This window comes from Homo sapiens, chromosome 6, assembly GCF_000001405.40.
Source record: "Homo sapiens chromosome 6, GRCh38.p14 Primary Assembly".
In the NCBI taxonomy this organism is placed as follows: Eukaryota; Metazoa; Chordata; class Mammalia; order Primates; family Hominidae; genus Homo; species Homo sapiens.
The window spans coordinates 148,269,429-148,282,056 of record NC_000006.12 but is presented as its reverse complement, the minus strand read 5'-3'; the positions used below and the strand labels follow the sequence as shown (position 1 = coordinate 148,282,056).

The following is a 12,628-nucleotide window of genomic DNA, read 5'->3' as shown; positions in this document are numbered from 1 at the left end:
CATGACAGTTATGTTCTAATTTATGGTTTCATTTATACCAGTGCTGACATGATTGTGTACTATAGTCACATTTCTTTTCTCATTATTTTTTCTTTCTTGGAGTTTTCTTTCTTTTCTTTTTCCTTTTTTTTTTTTGAGACGGAGTCTCGCTCTGTCGCCCAGGCTGGAGTGCAGTGGTGCAATCTTGGCTCACTGCAACCTCCACCTCCCGGTTCAAGCAATTCTCCTGCCTCTGCCTCCTGAGTAGCTGGGACCATAGGCACGTGCCACCACGCCCGACTAATTTTTTTGTATTTTTAGTAGAGACGGTGTTTCACCGTGTTAGCCAGGATGGTCTCGATCTCCTGACCTCATGATCCACCCACCTCAGCCTCCCAAAGTGCTGGGATTACAGGCGTGAGCCACCGCGCCCGGCCTGGAATTTTCTTTTTAAAATTCGGTCACTTCTCTATGTCCCTGTCCATTATTCTGCTCCGAGCTCTGACAGAACCATGACACACCTCACAGGAGGCTGAAGTCATCAGGCTCATGAGTCGGTCCCATTTCTTCCTTGAGACATGCCTCCTGGAGCCCTCCCTGTCTGACTTGGTTGTGCTTTGCACATTCCCTTGTTTTAGTGGAGCATATCCTCCAGGAGCTTGCAGATAAGGGGTGTAGGTGATATAAATGCTTTGACTCCTTCTATGTTTCTAGTCCATCTGACCCTTAATTGAGGGTTCTAGGTCGGAAATCGTTTGCCCTCAGAATCTCCAGGCTGTTGTTTCCTGGATGCTGGTGTTCCTGTTGAAAAGTCAATGCCAGCCAGGCGCGGTGGCTCACGCCTGTAATCCCAGCACTTTGGGAGGACATGGCAGGAGGATCACTTGAGGTCAGGAGATCCAGACCAGCCTGGCCAACACGGTGAAACCCTGTCTCTACTAAAAATGCAAAAAAAAAAAAAAAAAAAAAAAGCTAGGCATGGTGGTGCATGCCTGTGATTCCAGCTACTTGGGAGGCTGAGGCAGGAGAATTGCTTGAACCCGGGAGGTGGAGGTTCAGTGAGCCAAGATCATGACACTGCATTCCAGCCTGGGTGACAGAGCAAGACTCTGTCTCAAAACAAAACAACAAAACAAAACAAAACAAAACAACACTCTTCCATTTAACCCTACTCTTCTGAAATTTCACAATGACATGCCATATTCTCTATGCCGGCACTAGGTCTTTTTCTCTCTTTCTCTCTCTCTGTCTCTTTTGTTGTTGTTGTTGTGAGACAAGGTCTTACGCTGTCACCTAGGCTGGAGTGCAGTGGTGCCATCATGGCTCACCATGGCCTTGACCACCCAGGCTCAAGCGAATCTCCTGCTGCAGCCTCCCGAGTAGCTGGGACTATAGGCATGTGCAACCACACTCAGCTAATTTTTTTTCTTTTTGTAGGGACGGGGTCTCTCTATTTCCCAGGCTGATCTCAAACTCTTGAGCTCAAGCGATCCTAGGGATGGGTACAGTGGCTCACCCCTGTGAGGGTCCTTAGATCCTCTTTTGATCTATTTGTTCATCAAGGTAATGAAGGGCTACCATGGATTGAACACCTAGTATGTGCCACATATTGTACTTTCTACTCAGTATGTCTCATTTCACCTTCACAGAATCCCTGCAAGGTGAGTGTTATTATATCCATTTGTGGACCAGGACTGCGGCTCAGAAGCTTTTCCCAGGACACTGAACTCTGACAGGTGAATAGCTGCCAAGTGGTGGAGGTTGGCCTGCAGTGAGCATCAGTCTGACTTCGAAGGTAACTGCTCTTTCCAGGGCAACCACCCAGAGGCAGGTTCTAGTGCTAGGTGATGGCAGGACTTGCATGTGAAGTGCTTCATGGGAGGGTGTAAGTTCCATGGGGCTGAGACCTTGGCTGTTCTGTTCACCACCATCAACCAAGCACAAGAACAATCCTTGCCGTGTTGAAAATACACAATCTTTTTTTTCTTTTGTTATGTCGGGGGGGAATGATGGGGGGGAATGATGTTAGGGGGAATGTTGGGGGGAATGTCGGAGGGGGGAGTGTTGCAGGGGGAGGATTTTTTTTTTTTTTTGAGACATGGTCTCACTGCCACCCAGGCTGGAGTGCAGTGGCATCATCTTGGCTCACTGCAGCCTCTGCCTCCCAGGTTCAAGCAATTCTCCTGTCTCAGCCTCCCAAGTAACTGGGACTACAGGCATGCACCACCACACCCAGCTAATTTTTGTCTTTTTAGTAGAGACGGGGTTTCATCATGTTGGCCAAGCTGGCCTCAAACTCAAGTGATCTGCCTACCTCAGCCTCCCAAAGTGCTAGGATTTCAGGTGTGAGCCACCACTCCTGACAATCAATATTTTTTAAAATGATGATGGATGGATAGATGAACATAATTTCATTGAATTCTCAGAGCAACTCAGTCATAACTCTAATTTACCCTTTTGCAAAAGGTTAGAAAGCAAATCTCAGCATTCTGGGATTTTTGTTTCCCAGCGAATTGCTCTTTCTAGGAAGTGTTTTTGTGTAATCTTAGAATTATCCATGATGATAACCCATGCTACCCCATGGCAACCAGAACCTAACGGGATAGCTGAGTTGGCTTGGCCAAGTGATTGAACATTTATTCAACAAAGTATTATTGAGTCAGTGTCCACTATGTGCTAGGCATTAGCCTGGGAGATTTACATTCATTAAATCTCATGTTATCCTCACAATAACCCTGCCAAGTAGCCAGGTGGCCTAAATACAGTTTCTTAAAGATTCATTTGCTTGGCTGGGTGCGGTGGTTCATGTCTGTAATCCTAGCACTTTTGGGGGCCGAGGTAGGCGGATTGCTTGAGCTCAGGAGTTCAAGACCAGCCTGGGCAACATGGTGAAACCCGTTTCTACTAAAATACAAAAAATTAGCCGGGCATAGCAGCATGCGCCTGTAGTCCCAGCTACTTGGGAGGCTGAGATAGGAAAATTGCTTGAACTCAGGAGGCGGGGGTGGCAGTGAGCTGAGATCGCACCACTGCACTCAGCCTGGGCAACAGAGCGAGACTCTGCCTCTATTAAAAAAAAAAAAAGATTCATTTGCTCAATGAAGAGTTTGCTTAAAATTCAACCTCTAGACCTTTGAGAGTCTGAGAGTCTAGGTTTCATTTTAGTGTTCTATATTTTCTTGGCATTTGGGAGCAGTTTAGTGATGAAAATAATTAGTTCCTCCAAGGGCATATCTAACTTAATTTAGTGTTTATATTACGTATTTATTGCACTTGCAGATTTTTTTTAACTATTTAAGAAATACATGAAACATTTCACAAATTTGCACATCATCCTTGCACAGGGGTCATGCTAGTGTTCTCTGTATCATTCCAATTTTAGTATATGTGCTGCTGAAGTGAGCCCAGAATTTTCTTTTTTCTAATGATGGGATTGTTTTGTATACTTGAAAGTGCCTTGTTCTATTTAACCTACTTTTGCATAGTTAAGCTCTTTTTAGTCAGTTTATGTAAGGCCTTTTATTCAAGATTTAAATTAAATTTAAAAGTAAATTAAATTAAAATTAAAATTTAATTTAATTCAGTATTTCTTTCCAGGACATGTGAAAAGACCTAAAAATGCTCCAAAGGAGATAGAATTTTGCATGAATGAGTTTTTAGGTAAGATGTTCCCCAGCCAGGCTGTAATGAGAAAAAAAAATGGAGACCAAGATGTGGGCAGACATTTAATAAGCCTCTCCCGGCCGGGTGCGGTGGCTCACGGCTGTAATCCCAGCACTTTGGTAGGCCAAGGCTGGTGGTTCACCTGAGGTCAGGAGTTTGAGACCAGCCTGGTCAACATGGTGAAACCCCATCTCTATTAAAAATACAAAAAATTAGCCGGGCATGGTGGCGGATGCCTATAATGCTACTCGACAGGCTGAGGCAGGAGAATCGCTTGAACCCGGGAGGCAGAGGTTGCAGTGAGCCGAGATCATGCACTGCACTCCAGCCTGGGTGAGAGAGCGAGACTCCGTCTCAAAAAAACAAAACAGAAAAACAAACAAAAACAAAAACAAAACAAGGCCGGGAGCAGTGGCTCACGCCTGCAATCCCAGCACTTTGGGAGGGTGAGGCAGGCGAATCACGAGGTCAGGAGTTTGAGACCAGCCTGGCCAATATGATGAAACCCCGTCTCTACTGAAAATACAAAAATTAGCTGGGCTTGGTGGCGCGCGCCTGTAGTCCCAGTTACTCAGGAGGCTGAGGCAGAAGAATCGCTTGAACCCGGGAGGCGGAGCTTGCAGTGAGCTGAGATCACGCCACTGTACTCCAGCCTGGGTGACAGAGCAAGACTCTGTCTCAAAAGACAAAACAAAACAAAACCCTGCATATTTTTTCTCTTTTAAGTAGGTCAAAATAGATGGTTCTTCAAAATAAAGCACAATTGTCTTTATTTTCCTATTTGGAAAACTATTGGAGTGTCAACATAATAATGTCTGCAAACTTTCGGAAAGAATTTTTGTAGAATTTCCTGGACATTACCTGGAATAAGGATAATGTCCTTCTGACGCTGCAGTGTTATATGGGAGGCTGAGATCAACTCACTTCTGCCCTGTGTCTCTCCCCAGAGAGTTTGACCAGTGACCCTGGGTCCAGCTTTTCCTGGCACTCTCAATAGAAGCAGCTGGCTGGTCGGAGCACGGTGAACCCAATGTCTCTCCATGCCATGCAATTCTACCATTCTAACTTCTCAGGTGTTAGCATGGTATTGTTAACGTGGTATTTTGGAAAGTATATCAGTGGGAATGTCCAACAGGCTGGACTTTACTGTGCTGTTGACTGTAGTGGCCACATTGGCCACCTGACCACGCCAGGAGCCACCTCAGCTGCAGGTGCATTTCTGCGTGATGGTTGTCATTTCCATTAAGAGTGCAAGACTCCAGGGGCAGACTCTCTGGGTTCAAATACTGGCTCCCATATATCCTAGTTATGGGACTATTCGTGTGTCCCCTTTCTTTATCAGTAAAATAGGGATTTTTATGTGTCTACCACACCGTGTTGTTGTGAGGATTAAATGAGTTAATATGTCTGAAGAGCTTAGAACAGTGCCTGGCACATAGTAAATGGTATGTAAGTTTTAGTAACGCATAATTATCATCATTATTATTATTTTTTAGAGATGGGGGTCTTGCTACATTGCCCAGGCTTGTCTCTAACTCCTGGCTTCAAGTGACTCTCCTGCCTCAGCCTCCCAAGTAGCTTGGATTTCAGGTGCAAGCCACTGTGTCAGGCTACCATGATTATTTATGTGAAGTACTTGGAACTACACAAGGCACTTCTTGGGTAAAAAAATGCACAGGGGTGCACTCGCAGGTGTATATATTTAAATGAACAATTGCTTCTTCTATGATCCTGGAAGTGCAATTTCCCAGTGGTGCAGTTTCTCTTCTCTCTGTCTCCCTTTGCTACTACCTGCCCTCAGCTTTCTCATCATCCGCTCCCTTTTCCCTTTGCATATACTTTGTTCCCTCTTCCTCCATCCTAGCTTACTTTTTCTTTCGCACACTTACAAATCGACTGGGCGCTGTTCCTCTTTTCTCTTACTCTTCTAGGTTTTATTTTATTTTAGTCACCGAAGTGATCTGAGAAGTGGCTGTAAAAAGGTAATGCTAGCCTACTGACATGCTGCCTCAAACTGAAGGGGGTGAGTCACAAAAGGAGAGAGTCCAAGGCTGGACAGAAGAGACGCAAGTTCCTTCTGGCTTCAGAGTTCTATGTCCACCATTTCAAATTTAGAATCATATTTTATTAACATTTATCTTTCACTTTGTATGGCTTAAGCACTAGGCTAGGGCTTTTACACGGATTATTATTTAATCCTTACAACAACTCCTTACAGGCAGGTATTACTCTCATCTTACAAATGAAGAAAAGCAAAAATGGAGAGAGAATTAACTTATCCAAGACCACACAACTGGAAATCAGAGAGCCAGTGTTGGTGCCTATACTCTCTAACTCTAAGCTCCAGTCTCTTCCCACTACTCATAATTCCTCCCACACAAAAAAGTAGAAGTAGGCTAGGCACAGTGGCTCATGCCTGAAATCCCAACACTTTGGGAGGCTGAGGCAGGAGGATTGCTTAAGACCAGGAGTTTAAGATAAGCCTGGGCAACATGGTGAAACCCTGTCTCTACAAATAATAAAAAATCAGCTGGGTGTGATCATGCATGCCTATAGTCCCTGCTACGTGGGAGGCTATGGCAGGAGGATTGCTTTAGCCTAGGAGTTCAAGGCTGCCATGGGCCATGATCATGCCACTGCATTCCAGCTTGGGTGACAGAGTGAGACCACACGCCCCAAAATAATTGCAATATAATGTGATTAATGTAAATACATAGCGGTACTTTTAAGATCTTATGGAAATGCAAGCGAGCTAGGGAGGGGAATTTCTAATATTTCCTAGGCAGAGTTTTGAACTGGGGTCCTTGGAATTTTGGAAGGTCAATGGAGGAACCACTTGAAGCTGTCTGCAAAATTTTCTTAGAGGGGTTTGTGGCCAAGGGAGTAGAGAGGTGGAAGTTTGACTGGGGCATCACAGAAGAGTATTAACTGTGTGAATGTTTGAGCTGATCGAGAGTTTGCCAGGAATTAGAAGAGGAATAAGACAGTCTAGGCAAAAGAAACCACAAGTGGAAAAGTACATACAAATAATTTTCTTGGACTTCAGCCTAGGGTACCATTCAAGGAAGCAGCAGGAGACAAAGCACCTAGAATAGGTGGTTAGGGTCCAGACCAAGAAACAAATGATGTCCAGGGCCAAGAATGAATTCTCAAGGATATTAAAAATGCTCTTGAGAACATTATTACCATTCATTGTAAAATATATTCTCCAATGCCATTAAACAATATGACGCAAGTTCTTTCTTCCCCTTTCCAGATGCTTGTAGCAGATTCTCTGTATTTTAGGATAAATTTGCATTCAGGAGTAGAGCTGGAGCCTAACCTTGTTTCTGGGTGATAATGTGTTCTGAATTCTAAACAATGGCTTACAAAACTTCTGAAGAGCCACGAGTTCTGTGAATTGGCATGGTGGCACCACCCATTGGTGCCTTGGTGGTAGGTCATTGAATCCCTGGTGTCCAAATATGGGGCTGTAAATTAGAGGAGGGGCAGGGCAAGAGGATATTGCCCTAAATGAAGATGTGCTGGGTTTGTTACTGGAAAAGAGGCAGAGAGATTTTGGATCTGGATTTTCTTTGAGGTAACAGTAAATTTATAATCCAGGTATCACTGTGGAAGTCTCTGCCACACTGATTTTATTTTCTCCCCAAACTTCTGAGGTTGATAAATTAATCAGGTAGATTAATTAGGTTAGTTAAAATAAGACATATACACAATCATCTCCCACAAAGGAAGCTTGTCTGAACTGGAACTGTCTCTATAGATTTCAAGGCTCATTCACTTGTCTCTTTAGGACAGGAACGATATTCCTAAGGCTGATAATTCCCCTTTCTGTCTGAGTTGATCAATACATCTTTTTGCATCCTCAGCACAAAAACCCAAATGTGCTTGCTTCCTTTTCTAAAAGAAAGCCTCTGTCTTGCTGGGATTAAGAGGGCATAGTCCCATGACAGAGTTTGCAGTCAAATTTTGGCACCTGAAAAAACCTTCCCTCTTTAAAGAACTGCGGGCAACCAGTCAAGAGGGACCAGAGTTTTGGCATTTGGACTGAAAACATTACCTGCCAACTAGGCTGCTCTGAACGTATTGTTTCTGAAACCAGGGAAAGCGCATGTAACAAGAGGAGGCTTTGTTCTGTTGGAAGATTTTTGATGAGTCCATCTGCCCCAAGTTGAAAGGAGAACCTGCCAGCCATGTCTGTTCACTTTCTCCCATTTACCAGCCTCCCTTGGACTCCTGAGCACCCTCTAGGGCATGACTGTTACCTCTCACAACTCATATTTCAGACATTTTTTGCTTTGTTCATCCCATGACCGTGGAATTCTATGTTTCATACATAGTTGCTTTGACTGGCAGTCTAGCACTTTTCTCTCAATGACCCAGTCTCTCCTTCTGGTTGCAATCCTACCAAGATGGCAAGGAGAAATTTGCCCAAGCAAAGCCTCACTAGGTTAAATGCCCAAACTGACATTTCTTCTAGAGTTCCCTTCTCTAATTCTAATTTCTTCTAGAGTTCCCTTCTCTAATTCTACTTTCATTCAACAAGTATTGACTGGGCACCGACAGTACCAGGCACTGTTCTCAGCTCCTCAGAGACAGTAGTGAGCAAAGCAGCCTTCCAGAAGCCCACCTGAGAGGCCTCAACTTGCCAAAGCCCAGGCCAGAAGCAGAGAAGGGGCAGGAGAGGCCCTCAGGCCAGGCAGGGGTCAGCACCCATGCATTGAGTGGTTGGGCTCTCAGACTCTACCTCATGACCTCTGTACTCTTTAATTATTTTTCATGAACAAATCTATTTTTTTTTTTTCTTAAGAGACAGGGTCAGGCTGGGTGTGGTGGCTCATGCCTGTAATCCCAGCACTTTGGGAGGCTGAGGCAGGTGGATCACCTGGGGTCAGGAGTTCAAGACCAGCCTGGTCAACATGGTGAAACCCTGTCTCCATGAAAAATACAAAAATTAGCCGGGCATGGGGGTAGGTGCCTGTAATCCCAGCTACTCAGGAGGCCAAGGCAGGAGAATTGCTTGAACCCAGGAGGCAGAGGTTGCAGCGAGCTGACATTACACCACAGCACTCCAGCCTGGATGACAGAGGGAGACTCTGTCTCAAAAAAAAAAAAAAAGAAAGAAAGAAAAATTTAAAAAAGAAGAAGAAAAGAAGAGACAAGATCTCACTCTGTCACCAAGGCTAGAGTGCAGTGGTGTGATCATAGTTTACTGCAGCCCAGAAATCCTGGGCTCAAGAGATCCTCCTGCCTCAGCCTCCCAAGTAGCTGAGACTACAGTTGCATGCCACCATGCCCAGCTAATTTTTGTAATTTTTGTAGAGACAGTGTTTCGCCATGTTGCCCAGGCTGGTCTCCAATTCCTGGGCTCAAGGAACCTTCCCGCCCCGGCCTCTCAAAGTTCTGGGATTATAGGCATGAGCCCCCATGTTCAGCCCAAATATAAACCCCTTTTTTAATTAAAAAAGAAAAGACCTTCACAATCTGTAGAATACGATTTCCACAGAGAAGACGAAGACGGAAACAAAGTTGTTCAGCAACCTGAGAAGAAAACTCCTTCAGTAAAATATGAGATACTAAATGGTTAATCGGATGGTCCCGATCCCCTGGGGGTTGCAACATGAAATACATCGTTACATCCTTCATTCTTAGCGTGTGTGCAAATCTTTAAAAAAGTTTTCATAGATAAGTAGAGGCTGGAAAAGCTCTGGTCTTTAACAGGAAAAACTTTTCTTGGCTTACAAAACCTTTTTTAGAGTCTTGGGGGAAAATAAATATCTACATAATTATATAAATATATCTTATATAATGAATGGTAAGTCACAAAAATGGCAAAGCCCGGTGAAGGAATTCCGAAGCAGTCACTGCCTAGCGCCCTCGGAATTTTGATGAATTCATCAGTAGCACTGAAAATCCCTAGATACTGACAGTTACTTTATACCTGTTTCCCACAATAGTCCTTTCCTGAATATATCAGTCTAAATGTCAGAAGGCACCAAAAACAGTCTTAAAATTTGAAAACAGACAGCCTACATACCCTGCAATCTTGTTCCTCCATGAAGTGAGCTGCTGGCCATACGTTCAAATGGTCTCTGACTTCCTCTCTGACTCAGATCGCATGAATCTGCAGCACTGATGTAAGGCTCTAAATGGGAATCTGTTTTCAATTCAGGGCAGATGTGGGACACTCTCACAGCCCTAGGGATTATCAACTTTAAAACAAATCGCCTTCAGGACGATAAGAGAGGCAGTAACTGCTTCCTGAGGCCTCACTGGGGTCCCTTCCAAATGCTTAACATATAACACAATAACTATGACACAAAAGCGAGTTTCATTCTTCGGGTTCTCGGACTTTAAAATGAAGCTTGCAAATACCCCTCAGAAACAAAGCTTGAAAATGTATCTCAGAACATTTAAATAGAAATCCAGATATTTTAGTAACTAACATACAACAGTGATCCAAATGCCCCTTTCTCCCGCCCCCTACAAAACTCTCAGCACGGTGTTTGGCTCATTGAATATAGTTTTTCCACAAATTGAAATCGAATTGTTCTGGTTCAGAGTTTTCTTGGCTCAAGAAAAGGAAGGGAGGACTATTCCAAGACTTCCACAGAGAAACTTCCAGAAATCCATTTAACACGGTAAGTTTAATGTTCTAGGATTAGTGTTCATCAATGGACTGTACATCTCAGAATGTCCTCTGTTCTGAGACCACTTTGTAGAGTTGGCTGATATGCCAGGCTTCAAACTCTGAAACACCTTCGCTGGGGCTTAATCTAGTTTAACCTGATTTAATAACCCTGAAAAGAAGTTACAAAAACATGAATTTTGAAGACATCTAAAGGAAACATAGAAACATTTCCCTTTTAATAAAATAAAACAAAAGTTTTATACAGTCTTAAAAAATATTAAAAGTTAATGTGCATGGCACTTCCCTACACAAGTAAGTTTAGGTGTTGGTAACATCAGTGAATAGTCAGAAGATAGTCACATTAAATACATATATTTGGAAAACAGTCTATTCTTTAAAATTAATATTGTGAGTGTGACATAACAGAGCTACATGGTAAAGCATCAAGTCACTAAGGAACATTAGGGTTAGTATTTCTCCTATCTTCATGGGGAAAAATAAACTTCCTGTAGCTTAGGAATGTGCTAACATAACCATTAGGCAGCAGTAGCAGTGGTATTAGGAGTTGTGGATGAGCTGGGCGCGGTGGCTCACACCTGTAATCCCAGCACTTTGGGAAGCCAAGGCAGGTGGATCACCTGAGGTCAGGAGTTCGAGACCAGCCTGACCAACATGGTGAAACCCTGTCTCTAATAAAAGTACAAAAATTAGCCGGACATGGTGGCGGGCGCCTGTAATCCCAGCTACTTGGGAGGCTGAGACAGGAGAATCACTTGAACCCAAGAGGCGGAGGTTGCAGTGAGCCAAGATCGTGCCGCTGCACTCCAGCGTGGGCGACAAGAGCGAGACTCTGTCTCAAAAAAAAAAAAAAAAAAAAAAGTTGTGGATGAGATGTCCAGAGACCCAGAGACAAAGACCTGTCCCTAGATTTCTCTTTAACTGAGTGGCCTTGGACATGCCATTGCCCAGGCTACCATTTCCTTATTTGTAAAGTGGCTGAATTAGGTTGAAGATATCTAAAATCCAAACCTCTAATATCAGTGATGGTGTATTAACCAAGAACTGGTAAAACAGAAGGTAAGAGCCTTTTTGTTTTTTTGTTTTCAAAAGTAATCACTAACTGCCACTAGTTTGACATCTCAGACAAATTTTTTTTTCCACTTTGGAGTATATATCTACAATTCTGGCTGATAAAGCAAGTTTTAGCCAAAAAATTGGATCTGAAGGGTCAAGAAACCCACTACCTTATGTAAATTAGATGCCTAGCTTTTTTTGGTTGGGGGGTTGACAGGTTTTTAGGGAAACAATCACCAAAGGCATAACTCCCCAATTTTAATTCTGCTCATCGGTATCAGTAATGCACTTATTTAGCAATTAGGATCAGTTCAATACAAAAAAAAATTTTAAAATATTAAAGTCAGTAAGGAAAAGCATATATTGCCAGCGAGCAGTGGGTGGTTTTGATAGCTGGCAGGTAAGGTGAGGGATACCCGGGGTGGAGGATAGTGTGGTTTGGTAAAAGAGCACCGGCTTATGAGTTGGGAGACCCAAGATCTAGTTCCAGGGCTGCCACTAACTAGCCCTGTGACCTTTGCCACCCTCTTCCCTGTTTCTGGCCTGTTTCCTTGTCTATACCAGGAAGGTCTTAGTCTGTCCATCCTCTTGCTGTCCCAGCAACCAAAAGAGAAATTCTGCCCCGTTGAATACAGCTTTTGCTATAGAGTTTGGCTCTTAGGAGCACAGAAGCCAAATCTATAACATCAGTGTATATCGGTCTATGGTGTACGGCAGAAAATAATTGTATACTGGGAGACAGCTAACTGGGAGATGATCATTTTCACACTTGTGGGAGGTACACACTCACCTGCCAAATACCAGTAAAGTCCTGTTCCAAAGACCATCGTCACAATTAAGGTTTTCTTTCCAGAATTTATTTTCATTTATCAGCTATGATTTGAGGATACAGGAACAATCTTTAAAATAATCATGTATAATACTACTGTTGAGGGTTGAATTGTGCCCCCCCACACCCCTCAGATTCATATACTGAATACCTCAGAATATGACCTTATTTGAAGATAGGATCTTTACGGAGGTAATTAAAATCAAATGAGGCCATCAGGGTGGGCATCCTAACATGCAATCTAACAATGCAATCAAACATGCAATCTGACAATGAAATGACTCAACAAAGAACAGGAAAGTATAAAAAATTACAACCCTAAACAAACTAGTTGGGGGTGGTGGCTCACACCTATAATCCCAGCACTTTGCGAGGCTGAGGTGAGAGGATCGCTTGAGCCTGGGCAACATGGTGAGACTTTGTCTCTATAAACTATTTGAAACATTTGCTGG

At 43.5% G+C, this 12,628-nt stretch overlaps 1 protein-coding gene and 1 pseudogene across 5 annotated transcripts in view; both read right to left on the bottom strand.

Moving 5' to 3' along the window:
• The window catches only part of SASH1 (SAM and SH3 domain containing 1), a 358,577-nt gene that overhangs the window by 269,988 nt on the left and 75,961 nt on the right, over positions 1-12,628 (bottom strand). For 3 of the 5 annotated variants that reach the window (XM_017010600.2, NM_001346505.2, XM_047418497.1), the window contains exon 1: positions 9,680-9,729. The exons of the other annotated variants lie outside the window; for them this stretch is intronic. In XM_017010600.2, coding sequence (XP_016866089.1) covers positions 9,680-9,700 — 21 coding nt within the window. In that variant the 5' untranslated portion in view covers positions 9,701-9,729. Of the gene's footprint in view, positions 1-9,679; positions 9,730-12,628 lie in introns of those variants that run through there. 5 annotated transcript variants of the gene reach the window in all.
• On the bottom strand, positions 3,279-3,385 carry RNU6-1222P (RNA, U6 small nuclear 1222, pseudogene; annotated as a pseudogene).